This window comes from Homo sapiens, chromosome 7 (assembly GCF_000001405.40).
Source record: "Homo sapiens chromosome 7, GRCh38.p14 Primary Assembly".
NCBI lineage: Eukaryota > Metazoa > Chordata > Mammalia > Primates > Hominidae > Homo > Homo sapiens.
The window spans coordinates 20,773,137-20,795,356 of NC_000007.14; the positions used below are offsets into that span (position 1 = coordinate 20,773,137).

Below are 22,220 nucleotides of genomic sequence, written 5' to 3' on the forward strand. Positions count from 1 at the left end.
ATTTTCTTTTTTGATGAAATGCCTTACAATCTTACTTAAATAAGATAAAAATATATGCAAATATATTACTCCATGGAGTATAGAAGATACATTTATCTAAACTTGACAACAAAACTATTGAGTTTTAAAAGAGTCTCGCTCTGTCGCCTAGGCTGGAGTGCAGTGGTGTGATCTTGGCTCACTGCAACCTCCGCCTCCTGGGTTCAAGGATTCTCCTGCCTCAGCCTCCTGAGTAGCTGAGACTACAGGCACGTGCCACTACGCCTGGCTAATTTTTGTATTTTTAGTAGATAGAGGTTTCACCATTTGGCCAGGCTGGTCTTGAACTCCTGACCTCAAGCGATCCACCCACCTCAGCCTCCCAGACTGCTGGGATTACAGGTGTGAGCCACTGCGCCTGGCAAGTTTTAAAGGTTTCTATACTCTGACAAACTCAGTTTCTTAGCAAAAGTGATCCTAAAGTTTAAGTTTTAAAATACGGGGGGAAATTAATTTAATTAGATTATTTATTTATATTTTTGTAGTAACTACATTAAAGAAAATAATAATGATTAAGTCATTTTAAATTATAGGATAAAAAATAGGTATAAGTGACAAATAGAATATTACTATTTTGGATAATTTGAAGTGAAAATATGGACCATTTAAAATTTAATCTGATGCTTCCATACACAAAATAAAAATGCAAAATGAAACTAAATATGTTTTCTTAGATTTTAGTTAACCATGAAAGAAACAAAACTTCATTATAAGAAACTATATCTTAAAGACATATCTGTGAAGAAAAGCTTTCTACTTAACTTAATAATTTAGTACATAGTCTGTCTTGGAGGCAAATCCCAGGTGATCATAAGAAGCTGAAAAAAAAAATGGTCAGCAGTTTTCTAAACTACAACCTACCACTGACTGATAGGTGATGCATTTTTTTTTTGCCTTTATTTCTTCATTAAAAAAACTCAACTATATCAACATTGATTTCTTACATTTGACAAGCATACCATCATAATGTAAGATGTTAACAATAGGAAAACCACAGGAAATCTCTATATTATTTTTACAACTTTTCGGTAAATCTAAAATTATTCCAAAATAAAAAGTTTACTTAAAAACTGAAGGGAAAAAGAATATGCCACTGCTTTTGCAGCATAAAATAATAAAAGTAGTTCCAAACCCCTTCATGGACATAAATTATTAATACTATTTCTTTACAGCAGGGATCTATTATACCTCTATTGTGAAAGTAATATTTTCTCTACAAAACAACAAGCAGAACTTCAAGAATGAAAAGTTCACCAAATCTGATTTTCCTGGATATACATACTAAAACACTTAGTGAACACATCACTAAGCAATGCATTTCAAATTTAATAATTACATATGAAATGAATTATTAATATATCATATGCTTTCTACTGAAAACTATACAGTATTTGTAGCCAAAATATTTACGAGGTTGTTTTAATGATCTCTGTTCATTGCTATGACAACATTCAATTGTGAAACTCACTAAAATATGTCAATACTGAGGACACAGGAAGTATAATGTATATGGACCTTAAACTTAACCACTGCAGTTTTAAGTCAAATAGTTATTTACTGGAGAAACAGCAAAAGTTACTTTGCCTCATAGTAAAAAGCCACTGAATTGTCATCTATAAAAACTTTCTTTTCTTAAAGTTTTGGGAGAAATATAATTTAATGTTATAAAAAATATTTTGCCCTAAATAAAAGTTTCATTTATCTATAGAAAAAGTCTGTGTAAATTCTGTTAAAGAGAATATATAACTCAATAATATTTTTAAAGCTAAATAACGTGAATGTCTTTTAAACACATTTCCACCTGGTACTAGCTCCCCTCCCCACCTCCCTGCAATAAGGCCATTGTTTGTTAAATTGAAAGGGGAAAGACCTGCTTAGAAAAAAAATAATAATCATAAGAGATAGGCATGTAAGAGAAAAATGAAGCATTGATCAGTGTACAAGAATGAGCACAAAACTTCCTGAAATGATGGAAACCTGATGATAGGGTGCCACATAATTAGGGACATTAAATTGGGTGCAAAATTGGGCAGTACAAATCCTTTATTTTCAGTTGAACTAGACAATCACTTGAACTTTAGGGGAAAAAAGAAAAAGATCTACTTTCTTTCTTCTATTTCAGCGCTTAAAATGGAGTAGCTAAAAAACTTAAAGCTGGAAGGATTGGTTCCCCCAAAGATGTAAAGATAACCCAAGGTGAAAGATTAAGGGTTTTTCAACATTCGCACAGATTTCAGGGTAAAATGAGCATAATGTAAATCAACTTATTGTTTGAGCCCTTTCAAATTAGTTGCCAAGAGAGGAGTGAAAACTTGGTAAGCAGGCTCCAGTTTCTGTGTGTTGATTTGGAAATCTTAAAGCTTGAGGGAGCTCAATTCATTTAAAGGAAGACATGTAAAGGGACAAAAAGTAAACAATGAAAATGCTATGCGATGAAGCACTAAAGTGAATGGGGGTATAGAGGATTTTTTAAAAAAACAAAACAATAAAGAGTCCATTGTGCTTTTAAATTACAATTTTAGAGAGTTCTTTAAGGGTCTGATTTTCTTTTGAGTATCAAAATGTCATGACCCATTTACAATATCCAAACTGTTGATGCTGTTTTTTTTATCTAGGTTGGAGGGAAATTAAATATAAATTGATATCTCCAAGAATTAAGTCCACATTTTCTAATAGGCAGGTGGCTATTTTGAGTGAAGCAGCCAAGGCATTTTGCCTTTTAACCTTCCTGCATGGAAAGTCAATTTCTCAACTGCAACTAGATACCTTCAGAACACTAATGATCAAATCTTATCCCTGCAGCAACTTCGGGTCCGGACTCTCCTCAGGAATCAAACCAAAAAGCACTATTTCACTAAAAGAAGTGAAGATAGTTGGCCAGACTAAATCCAGGTATTTGGACATAAATCTCAGGTGGCTCATCTGCCTTTTCCCAGGAAAATGCGGCCCCAGCTTTCATCAGTGTGTGCTTTGTCTTGATAGAAATGCATAATCATCAAAGCTAAGTATTTTTTTTACCTCAAATATAAGATCCTTTAGCACTGATTTTAAAAGTATTCGTAAACCACTTATAAACTACGAATGAAAAAATAAAGGACGACACAGATTTGTAGGGGCAAGAAAGGTGAGTAGGGAAGGACTAGATCATCTGCATCGAGATTTGAAAGACACTTGTGGCTTACTTGCAAAGCTTCTTTTAGCATTGAGCGTACGAGGGAAATTCTGTTCTTGATGACAGCGCAGTGGGAATTCCCACTCCAACAACCCATGAAATGTTACTGCATAATTATTCACCTTCTGAGGCCCATTACGACTTATCAGCAGAGAAAGAAATTTAATTTAAACTCACCCCTCTGTGCTAAAGAATGACTGGGACATGAGATCAAAGCGCGAAGCTCTGTCCTCCAGTGGTTTGCAACACCTAGGCACAATAGGGTGAGAGAACGCGGCATTCCAGCGCTTCCCAGCTTTCCGGACCCCGGAGAGAGGGGGTGGGGGTGTGGGCTCACATCGCCGGCTGGCTTGAGGGAGGAGAGTGGTGGCGGCTCCGGAGGTGGACGTGTCAATTATATCCTGGAGCTCCGGGAAGCCAGATTGCTTCTACCGGCGGCTGCAGGGGCTTGCAAGCGAAGATAGGCGGCCCTCCTTCCTTCCCCACTGTGGGGGATTGGGGTCAGTGGAGCCCGTGGATTTAGCCACGAGGGGACATGACTGGAGCCCTGTCACGCGCAGGTGTGCGTCTCCGAGAGCTCTTTCAATATAAGTGCGGGAGAAGATTTATGCTGCAGCCTCATCACAGGATGCCTTAAATGCATGTACATAGTGCGTATCTAACCACCCATAAAAGCCAAGTTTAATCCTTGGCATGTCTCGAGAATACAAAGTGGAACCCACAGATCCGAACCTGTGCGATGACTTCCAAGACCAGAAGGCCTAAGACCTAGAGGCGCCTAAAAGAGTCAGGGGGTGGGGCTGGGGAAAGGTTTACCAGGAGCCAGCTCCTTTCCTCAGGCAGCCCGGGGAGAGGCAGGTACATTCTCCAAATAAAGACCTTTAAGCGGAGCATGACGCTCTTCTCCGAAGGGTTGATCTATCTTGATCTCCTTTCAGATGTCACCAGAATAGGGACCTTCAGAATGTTGGTAGCAGTCCCCAAAGACCCAGAGGCCCAGAGTCGGGAGAGAAGAGCATTGGGAAGGAAGCCCATGAGAGGTTGTTGGGTTTTGGGTGCAATGCAGTAGAGTTCTGTTCAACAGGTTCAGTGATTCTACATCTGTGTCCATCCACCTATCTATCCATCACTTTTTCTGTTAGTCCCAGGGTAGCTAAACTTTTTTGATATCCTGAAACTAAAAAGCGCAGAGTTTTCACAGCCAGTCACACTTAATTGCGCCTTCTTTATGATAACAGTGTGGGGAAATGTGGGCAAGTTCCTTCACTCGTCGAGTCTGCCAACCCCATGATAAAATGACAAGAATAAATCTTGCCACCTATGGAGGACGCTGCACTTTGACGTCGCTGGGGAGAGGAGGCGGGTGCGAGTGAACACAAAGCAGTTTGGCCAAGAAAAGAGCACAGGAGGTGAAGAAAGGCAGGCAGTCGTGGGCCAGGACAGAGAGAAAGCTGAACAAGTTCAGGAAGAAGAATCTGAGTCTGTCCACGCCGCAGCAGCCTCCGGTGGCACGGGCAGAAAGATCAAGCGCGGCACCCCGTGACAGGATGGGACAGATTCCCCGGGCTCCGAGGCCCTAGGATGGCGCAGGGCAGCGGGCTGGTGCGGGAAAACTACAGAGCAAGCGAGGGAGGGAAGCGAAGGCAGGGGAATCCCTCACCCCGTCCGGCCCGAGTGTCTTTTGAGAGCCCACAGGCGAGCGGGGCGGGGGGAGGCTCCCCGCGCATTCCCACCGTGGGTTTGCCCAAGGTCAGAGGCCCGGGACTGGCGGGGCGGGTCTGGCCGGCATTGCCCGCGCTGAGCGCGCTGCAGAACGGGAGCAGGGCACAGGGTGGCGCTCGCTGTCCGTGCAGCGGGCGGAGGCGGCCGCGGTGCCTTTGTGTGCGGTGGGCGCGGCGATGGGCTGCTCCGGCCCGCAGCCCGAGGGGAGCGGCGGGCCCGGGCCGGGGCCAGGGCTCGCGGGGAGACCCCAGACCACCACCTCACTCTTCGCTGCTACGTGCAAGCGGACCGTGCGGATCGCCAGTTCGGAACCCTCCCCGGGAGGGCCCCGGGGTCTTTCTCAATGTACTGGGCACTTCGAGGAGCTGGGAAGAGGAAAGCGGAGGGTAGCGTTTAGAAAGGGAGGGAAATCCTCCCAGGCTCAAAACCTCTCGCAGAATTCATTCGAAAAGAGAACGAAGGGAACTTTGGGCAGGCCGGACCTCGGCTCAGCGCCCTGCGAGAGAAGCAGAGGTCGCTGCCAGCGTTTCCTCCCGCGCAGCAAGAAATTGGTGCCTGAGAAGCAAAGTTGAGGAATGGGCTTTTTAAAAGCGGCAGCCCCAGGCCGGGCGCGGTGGCTCACGCCGGTAATCCCAGCACTTTAAGAGGCCGAGGCTGGCGGATCACCTGAAGTCAGGAGTTCGAGACCAGGCCAACATGGTGAAACCGGTCTCTACTGAAAATGCACAATTAGCCGGGCGTGGTGGCGGTCGCCTGTAATCCCAGCTACAGGGGAGGCTGAGGCAGGAGAATCGCTTGAACCCGGAAGGCGGAGGTTGCAGTGAGCCGAAATTGCGCTGTTGCACTCCAGCCTAGACAAGAGCGAAACTCCATCTCAAAAAAAAAAAAAAAAAAAAAAAGCAACATTTCCGGTAGATGGACTTTCAAAAACGGTACTAGAATACCAGGAAAAAGCGACAGCTTGTAGCGGGGCTTTATTCCGAGTTCTAGGTCACCTCAAGCCCTCCCCGCTGTCCCTAGAGCTCTCCCACTGTTCGTTAGGAACCAAAGCAAAATGTATAAGGCTGCTTTCCTCACCGCCAAGAGACTCCGCAGAAAATTAAATTAAATTAAACATGCGCCGAGGGACTAGGGAAAAATAGATCCCCCCTCCCCGCCGCTGCAGCAAATCAACATTTCTGCTCACAGGGAGAGCAGCGAATCTAAAGACATGGCCACTGACGCGCATCCCCTTAAACCGCAGCGGCTAGGGTCCAGGATGGCAAGGAATTAGCGGCTTTCCTTTAATCCGGAAGCAGGGAATAAACAGGGAGAAAATTCTGAATCTTATTTTTAAAATAACATCAACTATTTATATTGAGCAGTCTTCAAAAGATGCCACCCAAAACCAAAGCCCTGACTTTAAAATGGGTACAGCATTACTATATTTCGATTCCTTACTTTAACACCATTTTCTTGAAATACAGGCACAGAATTGATCTTCTGCGCCATTTTTTAAAAAGGAGGGAGATTGGGAGGGAGAGAAGGAGGAAGAAAGGAAGGAAGGAAGCAACTGCAGAAACCATACTTTTAAAAAGAGAGAGAAGGATAAAGATGTTGGTAATATCTGGGTTTTTCTTAGGAGTGTAAAGAGAAATAATGCCTGTTTGGACAGAAGCAGCAAAAATCAGTAGTAAAATGAACAACCACAGTTTATTCAAAATACCTGCATCAAATCAATCCCTTTTTGAGGCTGTTTGTACAAAACACTGAGCAAAATTCTTAAATTCTTCATGATAATATTTATCTTTACCATCTTAGCAAACAGATAATAATCAAATCCACACTTTTTTCCCCCTTTTTCTGCCTTAATTTATCAGCCAAAAAGATCATCTGACCTTTGAGCAATCCTCTACAATATTTATTTTTAAAAAAATTCCTCTACAAGCCTTCTGTAGCATTCCATTTAATAACCTCACCAAAAGATCCATGAAGATGAAAATGATAGCAAAATTATCGATCTGCCTACTTAGGAGTCCAGTCTCATCACCTGCTTGTCTTTAAATTTTAATTTCAGTATTCTCTAACCAAAGGAAGCCCAGTTGAGAAGTTATGCCAAGATTCCGGTAGGAGCAGGGCGGAAGGAAGGCAAACCCATTCAGGAGCTTTTTCCAGCATCAGTTGTTCTGAGAGGAAGTCATCATATTGGTTTAAATTAAGTTTCTTACATAAAATATTTCAGTTGGTAATCCAGCCTCAACAAATCACAGTTACACATATCTCAGTGAAAGAGATCATCCACAAAGAGAGAAGGTGAGGAAGGAAGGAGCCAAAAAAGGAGAAAGCAGGATAGGGAAGAAACATTCAAGTTTGTAGAAGAGATGAGGTAGGAAATGGAAATGGTTGGATTGGCAGCCCTTTCCAGACTCTGGAGGGTGGGCTGATATATGCTGGCCTGACTTCTGGGTCAACAACTAGTTTAACTCTATCTTGATCTGCCAGACTGGAAGCTTGTCCCTTGGTTCAAAGTGAGACCTGGCCTTTGACTTCACTTGAGTGAGCCTCCAGCTACTGCCAGGAAGTGCTTTATCAGGGACAAAACAGGAACAAAAAAAAAAAAAAAATCACAATTTGGTACCTCATCTTCTGTTTTCCCAAAAGAACCCTGCCCACCCTGCAGAAAATTAAGCTAGAAATACTGTTCCATAACCACCAAAACAAACCAAGCAAAGCTAGAAGGGTGAGGAGCCAGAAGGAAGAAAGGGAAAGTTTGCACATCTGTACAGCAGAAAAAATGTCCCCCTTCAATCACCCCAAAGAAATCTTCTTCCAGACAATATTTCTCCTTGTCATAACCCACCTCTTAAATCAATGTTGATTCTGCATGTAATGCAACTGATATTATAAATGTACCAAGCAGCTTTCCTCTTACCTGCCACTACATTTAACTCCTTCAGAACCGCTCTTTCCGAATCCCTCAGCATTGCAACTTTCAATAAAAAAGAAACAACACTTAAACTGTGTTCTGCTTGTTATCCTAGGAAGAAAGTGACAGAAAGAAACTATTTTACTTTTAAAATCCATTATTTAGAACTATAGTATACCAAAGAATCAGAGTTAACTTGTTTGTCTAGAACCATAGAGACTGGAGGCCTCAAATACCTGCATAGACAGCAGGATTAAAGGTGTCACCTACTTGGACACGAGCTATATTATTCTAAAACATCTTTTATCCCTAATTGCTTTTTCCTCTCAATTTACAGTGCTCATAGCACTTTGTATTTTCACTTGCTTCTATGCATTATAATTACCATATATAGATTTCAATGGAAAATTTTTCAGTTCAAGATGTATACCAAGACTATACTTAGGGTGGGGAGATTGCAAACAGAAATAAAGAAGCTAAACTTGTAAGAATCCAAACACACTAACTTTTTATTCAATTTGATTCAAAATAATAATATTAATCTAATAGTGAAATAGTGATATAACATCAATCAACATTTAGAGTATTTTATGTTTCAAAGTATGGCTCAGGAACACCCATTGCTAAATGCACTTAGACATAACAAGACAGTATTTTTTATTGGCATCATTGACACCTATGAACAATAGCCTAGTAAATAGATTAAGGTTTAACCTTCCTTTTCTTTGGTGGCTGTTTAGAGACTTTAAAAGAACAGATAACTCATTTCAACAGGAATCTACTACTGATATTTACCTCTACATAATCTTTAGCTAAGACTTGGAATGCCAAAAACAAGCTTTTGTTAGCTTGACCTCCTCCACCTCCTAACAACAAAAGTTATCCCCAAACCCATGTTTTTATTTTAGATGTATTGATCTTCCAATGTAAGGCTTGGCCTTTTAAATACTAATGCAATCAATGGCCAACAACCTGACTCCTTCTGGAGACTGAGAAGGAAAGAGAATGGTGAAATTTCTTTGAATTGTGACTTAGTACAAATTTTAAGAGGTCAGTAAATCCTGATGCTATGAGCTAAATCTACTGGTAAATAATCAATTACATTCCTTAGACACTATAATCTTTATCTTGGTAAACAGAGAAAACACAGCTTTGCCAAATAGATCTTTCCATCTAACATCTTAAAGGTAATTATTTAAATATTACCACAAACAAGGATATATTTTGTTTAAATTAGACAATTAACTGAAGATAAAATGCACGTCCATAGTTTAAAAAGGGGAAAAAATACAAATTAACTGGCCTAGTCTTTTATCTGAGTTTATTATACCATTTAAAATATTACAAATAAATCAATTACATTTCATGCATTTAAAATGCAAATCTAAAATGCTCCAGAGAAAGGCTTTTCATTTCAATGTGAAATATCCAAATTATTTCAACATTACAATGAGCAATTAGTTTGCAGAATCTGCAAACATTTAAATGTAGTGTCAGAAGTATTTATTAACAGTTAACAATATTACCTTCAGGAAATACACAAAGGCCAAAGTTAGTCGAGTTTCACTTGGACAATTTATTTAATACATGGGTTTTGGCAGACCACTTATTATGAAATATAGGAGAACTCTCACTTTAACTATGCCTGAACTGCCAGCAAATGCAAATAAGTACATGCTCCATTAAATTAAATGTCATCCAACATTTATCAAATATTGTCTTAGTTACAGCTTGATACCTATCTAAATTCATATTCGAGCAAAACTAGGCCCCGAAAGTGCGTTTGTGGCTCTGCACCTCCAGAAGTGAGTTCAAAAAACCTGCAGCTCATCAGAACTGCAACAATAACTCTTAATATTTTCTTGTGACAAAAAAAAAAAATCAAGTTTACTTCAATATATTTTCAAATATTTACTGGAAGTAATGTACAAGAAAAATACTATACAAAATCGTCTCCTGGACAACTGCACCTCACACCCTTACACTGGCGGAGTTATATTTAATTGGTAACTAATCTAGAACGATTCTCCAGTTGTACAAACCATTAGGTTCAGATATATTTTACAAAGGTTCTTTTTTATTTTCCCTCTTTTGGTATTTAAACTACAGCCTCGTCTGAAATAAACGATAGCTTCTTCACTTGTTTGTAAGTTTAAATCACACACAAAAAAGTTTAACCCTACGATCTTCATGAATTGAGAGAATTTACGAAATTGGTACTATACAATTGACGGCCGGACTAACAAAAAAGATTGGGAGGTTATGTTTGGGAGTGGTGAAAAAACGAGGTAGAAAAGGACAAACATGGAGATAGTTAATCTGGTCTCACCGGAAAGGAGTATTTTTGCATAAGAAAAAAGCACCTACCCTCACCCCCGCCCCCACCCCGTAAGTTAAGTTAATGCAGTCAAAGTAACTTTGGGATCAATATTAGCAGTTTCGAGAGAAAGATTGCTCCCCGTTAGAGGAAAAAACTATTATAGAAGGGAAACCAAATGGAAGGTTGCTATTTTCCCCCTAGTTTTTTTAAAAATAAAATATATGCTATAAAGATGAAAGAAAGCTGCTGCAGCGATTCGACAAGACTGCCCTTTGCTGAAACTTGCATCGGTTCCACCTCAGGGAACAAAGAAAAAGAGGCAGACTGACATTGGGAGATCTAAACTCTACAAACTCTGGGTCTCGGGCTGCCAAAAGTCACCCCCACCAAGCCCCGACAGCCTGAGTAGGACGTCCGGCGATGCCCAGGGGCCTGGCAGGGTGCTCCGAAGCCGAGGTGCTCAGTACAGCGGCTCTGGAACCAAGCAGCCGTCTGCCCGGGCGGCGCTGTTCTGCCCAGGCCTCCAGCCTCTCCCTCTCCACCGCTCCGCTCAGGCTTGTCAGCCGAGCCGCTCCTGCCCGCGCGAGGCCCGCTGTCTACCAGGCACTGGATTAGTCCAGCTCTACCTCCAGTGGCCGTTCCCTCTAAAAGTTACGCCCTTCACAACCTGGGGGGTGGAGGAGGGGAGGACAAGGAAGAGAGAACGAGAAATAAAGGCCCGACGAGGCGCGGGTTCCGGCTGCAACGGGTTCAGGCAGCGTTACCCGTGGAAAGGGAAAGCCAGGGCCCGGGACAGCGATGCGTGTTACTTACTTGTCCATATCCCCTTTACAAAGTTAAGTCACAGAAGGAAGAAGGAAGAGGGGCAGAAACAGAAAGAGACAGAGAGCGAGTCGGATGCAATAGGGAAAGGCTGGAGTTGAAGTCCGGACAGACAGGGCCCAAGAGGACTTGGTGGGAGGAGGTCGGGGAGAGGGGCGGGCGCAGGGTGGGCGTCACTCTAGGCCGTTGCGGTGCCCGGGCTCGGGGGGCTGCAGCAGCTCTGGGGAGTGGCAGGGCGGGCTGCCCGCGGCGCTGTGCTCGCTGTCGGTGTCGCTGCCCTTCTTGCCGCCGCTGCCCGAGCCCGCCGAGCCGCCGCCGCCGCCGCCGCCACTGTGCGTCTTCACGTGCTTGCTGAGGTGGTCGCTGCGCATGAAGCGCTTGTTGCAAACTGGACAGGCGAAGCGCTTCTCGCCGGTGTGGGTCCGCAGGTGCCGCTGCAGCTCGTCGGAGCGCGTGAAGCGCTTGCCGCAGAAAAGCCAGTTGCACACGAAGGGCCGCTCGCCCGTGTGCCAGCGCAGGTGCGCCTTGAGGTGCGAAGTCTTGCCGTACACCTTGCCGCAGCCCGGGATGTGGCAGCTGTGCAGGCCCTTGCGCCGCAAGCTCGCCCCGGCAGGGCCCAGCCGCTCTGCCTCCTGGCAGTTGGGGCAGTCGCAGGTGGCGCGGCCGGAGTAGCGGCGAGCTGAGGAGCGCGGGGAGCCCCCCAGCGGCGCCGAAGGCCCAGCGCTCAACATGGAGCCCCCCGCGCCGGCCAGCGGCGACGGGGCCGAGTCCGGGTAGGAGCCGGGTAGCACTGGCTTGAAGCCGTCCATGAGGTGCTGCCCGGCGGGGCTGAGCAGGTGCGAGGAGGCGCCGCTGCTGAAGGCCGAGTGACTCAGGCCCGAGTAATCCGAGTTGTAGCCTCCGAGCGGCGAGTGCAGCGAGGTTTGGAGCCCCCCGGCGGCAGGGTGCAGCGAGCCGGGCAGCGCAGCCGCGCTGTTCGGGTTCTGCACGTCGATCCAGCCGGCCCCCACGTCCCACCAGCTGGAGGCGCCGGCCGAGCCCACCTCGCCCGCAGCACCCAGGCCCGGGTGCGAGGGCTTAAACCACGACTCGTACGGGTGCGCCATGCCCACCCGCGGGTAGATGCCCTGCAGCCCGTCCACAGAGGTGTGCACCTTGGAGATGAACACCGGCTGGTGGGAGCCGTCCTGCGAGTGCGCGGAGGAGCCGCCGCCGCCGCCCCCGCCGCCGCCGCCGCTGCCCCCGGAAACTCCGGGGGCCTGGAAAACAGAGTAGTCGTTGGCGAAGGGCGAGCTGGAGGCGGCGGCTGCGGCGGCGGCGGCGGCGGCTGCGGCGCTGCTGGAGGTGAGGGAGAAGGCGCTGGAGCCAGGCGAGCCGCCGCAGCTGAACGAGTCGGACACCAGGGCCGCGGCAGCCGCGGCTGCTGCCGCGGCCGCCGCAGCCGCCGAGGACGAGCCGCCGTTCCTGGAGGCCCCGGACACGCCGAAGCTTGAGAGACTGGAACCCACTACGTTGCAGCTGGCGGAAGAAGAGGACGAGGAGCGTTTCCAGGGGTGGAAGCCTTTGCCGAAGGAAGAAGAGCTGTCCGAGAGGGAGGAGGGAGACGGGCTGGGGCTGCCTATCTTATTACAGGTAGCGGCAAGCATGGCCAGAGGAGTCGATCCCAACCTCGGTTCTTCCTGCGAGGAGGAGAGGAGAAGGAGTGGGGGAGGGGAGGTGGGCAAAGGGCCGGTGGGGGAGGAAAGGAAGAAATGTGCATCAGTCCTTCGGTAGCCTCCAAAGCGCCCCACTGCACCCCATCTCTCGCTGCGGCGCGCCGCCACCAACTCACCTGGCACCCCCAACAGCCCCGGCGCCCGGCCGCTTCCTACTCTACAGGAGGGGACAAGTTTGGCTGCCGGCGTCTGATTCGGGAGCAAGCACCACGCTAAAGAAGAGTTTGACAAGTATTCTCACCTAAAACAACACTCTCTTGCACACAAAGCCCCAGACACTTCGTAACAAACAAGCAAAAAGTCCAGATTGGAGAGGAAGGAAGTTTTCTTTGCCGAGAAGCCTGGGGGAAAACCATTGGATTGCTTTTAAGAGCGCTTCCCTGTAATCCGGAGAGCTTTGAAAAACCTGTTCGGGTCCCCAGAAACCCATCCTGGGTTGTTTCTCCCAGGCCAAAAGAAATCAAACTGTAGGGCTCACTCTTTCTTCCTGCTTTTCTTTCTTTCTTTTTTTAAAAGCATATCTACAGTAGTAAAAACGAGACGAGTTCAACGTACCTGCGAGACAAGGCGGGCTGCAGAATTTTTTTTTAAGGGTTAGGGGAAGAATCTGCACTTTGCCCAGAAGGAAAAACTTGCTCTCTTTACCCCCGAAATCGGTGCCTGTAAAATGGGCTGGACGCAGGTCTCCCGGGCAGGGAGCAGCGAGGCGCTGCGCGGTGGCTTGTCTAAATGCCCTTCGAACCTTTTCCTGCGCTGAAAAAAAGTGACTCTGCCCCCTTCTCCCCCTTTTTCTTTTCTCCAAACTCACTTGTATTTAAAGAAAAAAAAAAAAAGCTCTCAATAGAGAGACTGATAGCCCGTGGCCTGGCCGGGGCGACTTTAACCCCCTCCAATCGGCAATAAAAGGAAACTAATTAAACCAGCAAGAGAAAATCCTGAGACTCACCCCTAGAAGTGAAGTTGCCATCACACAAAAGTGCCCTCCTCCTCTCAGAGGATCTTTTTTATATTGATAAATCAGAGGCAGTGTTTTTTTTAGAGGTGTGCAATACAATGATCAGTTCCGCCCATTCCACCACAATTGTAGCTCCCTCTCCGGCTTTGAAGTGCCGCGGAGGCGCGGCCAGCCAATCTGCGGCCTCGCCGGGCCGCGCGGCGCGCGCGCCGTGAGGTCATCGGCGCCGCCGCCTGCCGCCGTGGTGGAAGGGGGAGTGGGAGCGGAGGGGGCGGGGGCGGCTGCGTGTGTTACAAAGCGCAAAGCGCGCGCTCGCGTGTATGAGTGTGTGTGTAACAATGTAACTGTGTGCGAGTGTGACCAGGCGTAGGAGAGGACAGTGCGGAGACTGGAGGGAGGGGGGATGGGGGTGTGACACCGTAACAGTGACAGTGTGGTAAAGGCGGGGAGTGGAGAGAGTGCAGAAAAGGGAGGGTTGTGTGATAAGATAACTGCGTGTGCGACAAAGCGGGGTAGAGGGACAGAGCAGTTAAGTGTTGGGAAGGGTGTGAGTGTACGGTAGTGTAACTGACAAACCTAGGGAGGGAAGAGGGACTCAACTGGGTGGGGGGTGAGTGTGTTTGGTGTTGGGGGAGAAGGAGGGCTGTGAACATGTGTATTTGTGCGACAGAGAAGAGGGAAGGGTGTGTGTGGGCGCTTGTGTTGTGTGCGCGCACCAAAGCTGGTAGTGGGGAATGGGAACAATGCAATAAAGTGTGTGTTTGTAAGAGAGAGACTGTCGAGCTGAAGAGAGAAACCGACTAAGTTGATGGAGGCTGAGTGAATAAATATTCACAAACGCTGCCCCTGTCGCCAACTTCCTTTGGCTCCTTGTACCTAAAATCTTGAGTGATTTTTTTTTCTTAACTTGGTAAACAGCGTCACTACATTTTTGAAGAAGATCTTTAAACCCACCTTTTCTTTCCCGGCTCTCCAACGAAATAGTAGAAAGGTTGAGAGGCTAAGGGTTATTTTTAGGGATGCGTTGGGACGTGGATGCGCGCCTGCGCGCCCATGAGTTGTTTCTTTGATGCCGTGGCTTTTTTTTTTTTTTTTTTTTTTTTTTTCCCTGAGGTGGAATTCTGCTTTAGAAGTGCACGTCTCACTCTAGGGGAGGAGGTGTGTGTGTCCCGTGGTGTTGAGTAAATTTCAATACAAAAGGATTAGATAGAGAAGAGAGTAAGCGAGGGTCGTTTTTTCTTTGGGTAAGAAATTGAAGAGCGTTTTACGGAATTTAGAAATTTTCACAGAAAACCTCACTGCCTCTTTCTGAGAAAAGAATCAGGACTTTGATCGAAATATATGGGTTCTATTTATCTAAGAATAGAGAGGAGCTTTTGACAAATCTTGGACATTTATCCAGGCGTCAGTGTCTAATGGCGATTGGGCCAGAGATCTGTCTATGAGTGTGTGTGCATGTTAATAGATACACTTAGTTCAAATTCGGTGGGGTTTAGTCATTTGCTTGCCATTTGTGTTATTAGTTGCCTTCAGAAATGCCATTACAATTTCACTGCCACCACAAGGGAACTTAAACCGCAGAAAGCACAACACCAGTGTAGCAAAAAGTCCAGTCTTTGTAGCCCTATTGAATATTCATAAGTTATAAAAACAGTTCATATTTTTAACCAGTTACAAGTGCTCTCAGAAGTCTAATTTTAAAATGGAATTAACTAAAATGTGACTAGCTGGGCGAACTGTTTTGTTTTGACTGGGAAAACATTTTTATTTTACTGTTGTGTTTGAACCCCCCTCAAGGATTTCACAGCTTCTAGGGATGTCAAAAAATCTTCCTAGGGTTTACAAAATTTCGAAGTCAAGTTGTATCGTGTAAATTTCATTGAGCAGAGTTGAAACTGATGTTTGTGGTGTGAGAGTGTACATTTCTGACCCTTTTTTAAACGCTGTGGGGATATTGACTGTACATCATATCTATTGATTAAGGGGGTAAGGTATACTCTCATACTTTGAAGTAAGTGTGAAGTAAATTAATGAACTGCTTTCTTTCTCTGAGGGCTGACGCTTACCATAAATGTCGTGTTTCTCCCTGCAAGCCGCTCTGAATGATTTTAGCGTGTTGAGAAGGCGTGACAGGCCAGCCCAGAAGGAGGAAGGGGTGGGGGAAGGAGGGTACTCCGTTTAACAAATAAAAGAGAATTAACTTCATTGCTTTGGTCTCCTTCTTTAATGATATTCATTTTAAGGGCCTAATATACAGTTGTTCAGATTTGGGGTTTAATTCTAATCAATACCATCATCCTCAAAGGTGGAGAAAAACAGCTTTGAGGGGAGGCTCCCATCTATGAATAGTTATTTATTTTATCTTTTTATCCTCCTATCTTCTGGAAGGAAGTGAGGCAGGACTATTAAAAAGTTAAATGCTGATACTGAGAGTAAACAGAGGCGTTAACACTGTTTCCTCAAAAATGCCAGGAATTAGAAAAACCCAGCGTCATGTGACTGCAGTTTTGAGCTACCTAATTCTAAGATTTTTCAAGTGTATAAATTAACTTTAGAATCATATGTCATTCTTCCTATAAGTCACAACGTTGGTGTGGATTTAATGAAAATACTGGATTCTTCAGTTTGTGTAAGATTGGCTTGCAGCATTTGGGGATTTCCACAAAGGTGTGTATGTGCAACTTTCTTCATTATATATATGTATATATATTTTTTATTAGAAATATATGTATATTCCACTTACTTTCATATAAAAAGTGAGCTATTTCTTTCATAGTAGCATTGGTCAAAGGGCATTTTTTTCTTGTACCACCCTTCTTTCACTCCCTCCCCAAAAGAAATGGCTAGTGTTTGTGACATGAGGCATAAGGCAGCTGTGTTAAAAAGAAAAGACAAAGAGAATTATATAATTGACCAAAAATTTTAGCAGTCATAATTTTGCATCTAAATATGCTTGAAACTAGACTTAATGACAGCTCTTTCTCCACTTTGGAGAAGTGACCCAATCATTCTTAAATCCTGTCCCATAGGAGAGAACATCTGTAATCCATTGTTGATATAGCCTGCCTGGCAAAGCATTTCAGGGTGCATACACTTCGGTTTAACTTTTACGATATTGATTATTACTCTTGAGTATTATATTGTGATAATATAGATGTTTGAAAAAGAGGGGGAAGAAAAATAGGAAGTACAGGCTTTCTAACATTAATTAAAAGTTTCTCCACCCCATATGAAGTTTAATGTGCTGGCAGGAAGAGGGGTAGATGGATATTCTGCTGTTTCTTGCAAACCTGTGGGATCCACTATCAATAAAGCTAAAATCTATTAGCATTCTGTATGCATCTGCAGCATAAATTTCATTTGAATTTCAAATTTAATAAACTAGGAGGTTTTTAATCATCCCTGGTTTTATTTGTTTGATATTAACATGCTTATTGACCGGGTCTGGTGACCAGTTTGATCATTACAGGACAGCAAAAAGTTAATTAAAACGACCACAGCCCCTTAATCATATCATCTGTCTCATCCATGTCGCTCTCTTTATTACCGGTGATGATGGATAGTCTCCCAGATTAATTTCTCTGTTTCTTCGATTTGGACAACAGCTTTTGGGACCTAATTTACATCCTGGGAACAACTTGCTCAAGTATATCTAACACCTTGCAGCTACAATATACATCAACATCTCCTTAGATGGAACGGAGAAAGGAAGGTTTTTTGCAGGCAGGTTTGAAGACTAATCAATGCTCGGATCTGGAGGTCTTAGCTTTCACAACCAAAGAAACAGAAGGTCCTAAAAGCAAATTAGAGGCCTCAATTCCTGCTTTTCCTTTTGCGGGAGTAGGAAGTGAAAGATGCCTCTGCTGTTTGATTAATAGATTAAAATGTGTAGCTACAGCGACAAGTAAATAAAGTCATTTGTAACCATTAAGTACAATTAGGGATTTATAGTGGAAAACATCAAAGTTATCTAGGCTTTCAAGTGTCCGGCAGCTCATCTACACCAAATACGGTTTTTGAACTTGTTAAGTGTGGACCACTATAAACAGAGCGTCAAAAAAAAAAAAAAAAAAAAAAAAAAAAAAAAAAAAAAAAGAGAGAGAGAGAGAAAATAAAAGGAAAGGAAAAAAGCCTAATGGTAAAAAATGCACACAAACTGTAGCGCGTACCTCTGCAGGGTACGTTTAAACCCGGCTCTTAGCATCTCGGTTTCTAGAGCGTTGGCAGGGACATGCAGCTCTGGAAGCTGACCGGCGGGTGCCCGCGGGAGACAGAGCGAACGCAGTGCTGGCACTGCGTCCCTGGCCTGCGCCTCTCCCAGAATGGGAAGACGACCCCCAACCCCTTGACTAGTGTGCGGGGTCCTCGCACGCGGACGTGTTGGCTACTAAATAAAGCGTGAAGAGGGATCGCTGGGTAGCTGAGCGCCGCCGGCGGCCGCCGGGAGCAGCGAGCTGAGCCAGGTTGGGTGGGGGTGTTTCCTCGTCGAGAGCTCTCTGGTCAAAGTTTCCTTCCCGCTGGAAAACAAAAACAAAAACAAAAAACAAACCAAAACCAAAACAAACAAAAAAAAAAAACCTGGCTAGGCGTGGACCTGTGAATTCCTGAGGGGTGCCCCTTAGCAGTCCATTTCTCTTTCGTGTGGTTTTACTAAGAAGTTACCTAACATTTCCTGGGAAGAGAGGTAATACAAGCCCCTCGCTGGTGGCAGATTGTTGAGCCGTAGGTGGGAAGAGATCAGTCGGCCAGAGCCCAGAGAGGGCTGTATTTTCCTGATTGGAAAATGGGAACTTCCACGCTGAACAATAGCCTCTATTAGTGAGGTTATTTGGTTCCAAACTGTCCGGCCACATTTATAGCCGAGTCCTTACTTTTCTGGTAGTGCTTAATTGGATGCATTTGTTGACCACAACGAAGCAATAGTGACTCTTGATCTACTGGCACAGGAGCTTCTTGGTGATGAAAAGCGTTGCCTTGATGACTGTAAATAAATGAGACCACTTGAGAGAGCATTTCCTATTTTTTTCTTGACTTGATATTTTTCTTCCATTCTCCTTAATATTTACTTTTTCTTCTCTGCCACTTCAAAATGTTCAAAAGTTAGGGACACTTTAATTAAAAGAGATTTACTTATCTGACTTAGCATATTACCAGCTTTGATTTATTTTAGCTGGGATATTCAAATTGCATAGTTAGAAGACAAGCGGGACTTTCCCCATGTATCAAACAATCATCTTAGTAGTAGGTAAGTTCATAGATAGGAAAAGTATAAAGATATTTACCAAAATTGATGTTCAAAATCTCCATCTCTGTGTACAGCCTGTATTAAAGGAAGAAAACAAAACACCTTTCCCTATTTATTGTCAACACACATAATGTTCATATCTTCATGCTATGTTAATGTGGCCTCGTGCTACTTCTACATTCAGGCTTGCACTCTACAGTACTTTTTATATTCATCTCTGCCAGCCCATGGATAAAATTGATAATTAATTCTACAGCACTTTGTATTTCTCCTTCATCATATAAATGAAGGAAACACATGTAGGGAAAAGAGTTTGCTCATTTAGTGTGAATGGTGTGTGTTTGTGTGTGACTGTCGTTCAAGGCAAGAGAGCAAAAGAGAAGCTTAGACATTCAGATGAGTGTGTCTCTGATTTTTTTCCTAGAATGGATTTGTTTCTGTTATTTTCTCTTTTGGTATTATATATCACTTTCTTACAGCTAACATGCAGAGTTAAAAACTACTAAATGCTTATCCTCAACACTATTGATTTCTTTTCATTCTGTTCTGTTAGTAGAGGAGGTAATGCTCCCAGATTACCCCGGGGTCTCCTCCAGACGGTTGACAATTGCAATCGCAGTTTTGGGAAGATAAATGTTACTCTGGGAATTGTGTTTAATTACAAATAATCTAGGAGCTGCTCCAGGTCTCTGGGTTTAACCACACATGTGTTCAAATCACTGTATAAGGTTTACAAATGTGTGATATTTGTGAAAGGGGATACAATTCACTTTCTAAAACCAGGGGACAAACTAGCATGCTCCCACTTTGGGTTTGTCAACAGATTCTTAGAGATAACACTACCCAAAATAACACCAATGACCAGAAAGTGTGGCGTCTTCGAGCACTTGAAAGCCTAAAAAATTGTTCATTGGAGTTTACTTTCAGGTCAGTTTTATTAAAATGAAAATCTGAAAATTAGCCATGCTTTCTTGAGTTCTCAAAGTCTCTTGCACAAGTCCATTTGTGTAGAGAATATTTTTGAGTCTACATAAGTTTTTTTTAATTTTATTTTATTTTGACAGAAGTTTTGTGGATGTCCCCTGAAATAGCTCAATGGTTAATTTTTACTGTTCCTCTTGTAACTCAGCTGCTACCTTTGTGTGTGTGTGATTCTTTGCTTATATGGCAGCTCAATTAGTGTTGTTTGTGTGTGTGTGCTCGGTTTTTTCTAATAGTCTTATTAACAAGAAAAAAGGTGGCGAACAGGTTATTCTCTTAACCTGACCTGGCTCTAAGAGTAAGATGAGCAGCACTGAACAGATGTCCCCATTTAAGCCGTTCTTTTCCCACATGCCTGCTGGATATTGCAGGCGCGCAGGAAGCTCGCTTCAAACCTGGCCCATTTCAGGCCATAATGGCCACGTTATTTCGGCCCAGTGAACACGAACAAAATCGCGTGCTTTAGAATCATTCGACTCTGAGTCCAGGAAAAGCAGGGGGTGTGGTGGCAGTGGGGGTGGCTAGGGAGGGGTGTATATGAGTGGGGGAGCCGATTTCATCTCGGATCGCAGGAAGAGAACTTGCTCAAAAGAATTTTTCCCCAGCAAAAGTGGTATAATTTACAGCGCAACTTAATAATCCGAGGGGCAATGCAAAAGCCCTTTGCGTTGTAAACCGCTTCTAATTACCTGCCAGAGCAATTAGCTGACTATCACGAAGAAATTAGATCGCTCAATGTAGCATAAATAATGCGAATAATTTTGTAAGAAGAATGGAAAGCGAGACCTGGTGTTTCTTTATAAGGAAATAACACCTCGTACTGTAAGAGCCCTCCATGAACACATATTAATGTCTAGGCATGCATGGCAATGAGTCCGAGCAGGAGCCCTCTGGCTGCGGTTCAGCACTTTTTCCGTTTACGTATGCGGGGTGAAAGTCGGCTTCCAGGCGTTCGATCTCCAGCCTTCCAGCTCACAGTAATTAACACATAGCGACTTCAATGGGAAAACCTGTTTTCCAGATGATTTTTACAATGCAGCTTTATGTCTCATTTGGCAGTTTAAATAGCTGGAGTTGTTTTCTGGCTTCATCTCTACTATCATCTGTTGAGCATATTTTGCTTAGAATATTGAATCCCAACCAAAATTTGGGTGCAGGCTTTTGCTGACTTTTATTTTCTTAAGAAGTGGGGATATCAGGAGCCATTTTGAAGGATACTAGAGCAAAGAATTCTTGTGAGGACCTGCTAGTGCCAGCAGATATTTGAGTTCCTGAATGCGTTTACAAAGTACATTGGGATATTTTTGTGTATGCTTCACTTTAACTTTTTTATTTAAAATCTACCTTAATTATATTTTCTAACTAACTCACTTCTCTTGAGTGATTGTGCCCTATACGGGGGTTCAGATGGTGAGTTCTCATATTTCTTAGCAAAGAAAAATAAAAGTAAAGCTGCAATCTAATTTGGGAGGAAAGCTGAAGGTGCATTTAGGTGTCTGAAAGCAGTATAAGCTCTTTGAAATTTACTTGGTTTGTAAATTACAAGTGCGAAAACAACTTCCAAAGATGTTTGGAAAAAGAATATATGCACCGACACCTATATAGACAGACACACACACACATACACACACACACACACACGTGAAGTTGTCGCCTGCCCACAACTCCACCGCTTTCCTGTGCCGCCCAAGGGAAATGGGTCTCTCTTGAGCCCGTCTTTCTCTAGTAAACGAGGTGGGTCATACGTCTATGTCAAATTGAATCAGCCAGGACAGCTTCCGTGGTAATTAAACTGGACGTCTGTATTGGTCACAGCAAAGGGTGCCTTGTGAATTCAGGTTTTACTTGGTGCATCACAACTGTCAGGGTGAATCCCGCCCCCCACAGAGGTCTGAGTCATGGGTTGCCACTCTCCCACCACCCCTGCCAGCTCATCCCTACCCATCGAAAGCTTTGGCCCCGCTCATTTTTGAAACATTTTTCACGACTGAGTTCAGGGGTTTTGCAGGACTTCACAAAGATCTTGTCCCAGTGGGCCGCACATTCGCAGTTTTCTCCTGCTAAGAAAACATCGACGGTTTTGCTGCTGACTGGAGAGTTCTAGATGAAAACTGAAGGAACCCTAATTATTATTATTATCATTATTATTTTTGAGACAGAGTTTTGCTCTTGTTGCCCAGGCTGGAGTGCAATGGCACGATCTCGGCTCACTGCAACCTCTGCCTCCTGGGTTCAAGAGATTCTTCTGCTTCAGCCTCCCCAGTAGCTGGGATTACAGGCGCCCGCCACCATGTCCGGCTAATTTTTTGTGTTTTTAGTAGAGACGGGGTGACACCATGTTGGC

The 22,220-nt window shown here is 44.3% G+C and overlaps 1 protein-coding gene across 2 annotated transcripts, besides 4 other annotated features; it reads right to left on the reverse strand.

Moving 5' to 3' along the window:
- Positions 3,000–3,582: an enhancer, noted in NCBI's record as "OCT4-NANOG-H3K4me1 hESC enhancer chr7:20815756-20816338 (GRCh37/hg19 assembly coordinates)". NCBI's record gives its function as "activates a minimal SCP1, AML or CMV promoter by ChIP-STARR-seq in primed H9 embryonic stem cells {active_cell/tissue: H9 hESC(primed)}" and the evidence as "EXISTENCE:reporter gene assay evidence [ECO:0000049][PMID:30033119]".
- Positions 3,583–4,163: an enhancer, noted in NCBI's record as "OCT4-NANOG-H3K4me1 hESC enhancer chr7:20816339-20816919 (GRCh37/hg19 assembly coordinates)". NCBI's record gives its function as "activates a minimal SCP1, AML or CMV promoter by ChIP-STARR-seq in primed H9 embryonic stem cells {active_cell/tissue: H9 hESC(primed)}" and the evidence as "EXISTENCE:reporter gene assay evidence [ECO:0000049][PMID:30033119]".
- Positions 9,143–13,750, reverse strand: SP8 (Sp8 transcription factor). 2 transcript variants are annotated; one of them, NM_198956.4, is made up of 3 exons: positions 13,642–13,750; positions 12,812–12,907; positions 9,143–12,659 (listed from the first exon to the last, which is right to left on the reverse strand). In NM_198956.4, the coding sequence occupies exon 3, from the start codon at positions 12,624–12,626 to the stop codon at positions 11,154–11,156; it is 1,473 nt and encodes a 490-aa protein (NP_945194.1). In that variant the 5' UTR covers positions 12,627–12,659; positions 12,812–12,907; positions 13,642–13,750; the 3' UTR covers positions 9,143–11,153. The 2 variants fall into 2 exon arrangements, with proteins under 2 accessions (NP_945194.1, NP_874359.2); NM_182700.6 differs by lacking the exon at positions 12,812–12,907.
- Positions 10,128–10,788: an enhancer, noted in NCBI's record as "H3K27ac hESC enhancer chr7:20822883-20823543 (GRCh37/hg19 assembly coordinates)". NCBI's record gives its function as "activates a minimal SCP1, AML or CMV promoter by ChIP-STARR-seq in primed H9 embryonic stem cells {active_cell/tissue: H9 hESC(primed)}" and the evidence as "EXISTENCE:reporter gene assay evidence [ECO:0000049][PMID:30033119]".
- Positions 19,873–21,147: an enhancer, noted in NCBI's record as "VISTA enhancer hs844". NCBI's record gives its function as "enhancer in: forebrain[5/6] | facial mesenchyme[3/6]" and the evidence as "EXISTENCE:transgenic organism evidence [ECO:0001131][PMID:17130149]".

What these genes read in the sequence shown, in the direction of transcription:
- SP8 (NM_182700.6), bottom strand. Translation starts at nt 13,662, where the DNA reads ATGGCAACTTCACTTCTAGGG. An exon ending in TGGCAACTTCACTTCTAGGG is followed by an intron (nt 12,660 to 13,641) that starts GTGAGTCTCAGG and finishes TCCTCCTCGCAG; the next exon opens with GAAGAACCGAGGTTGGGATC.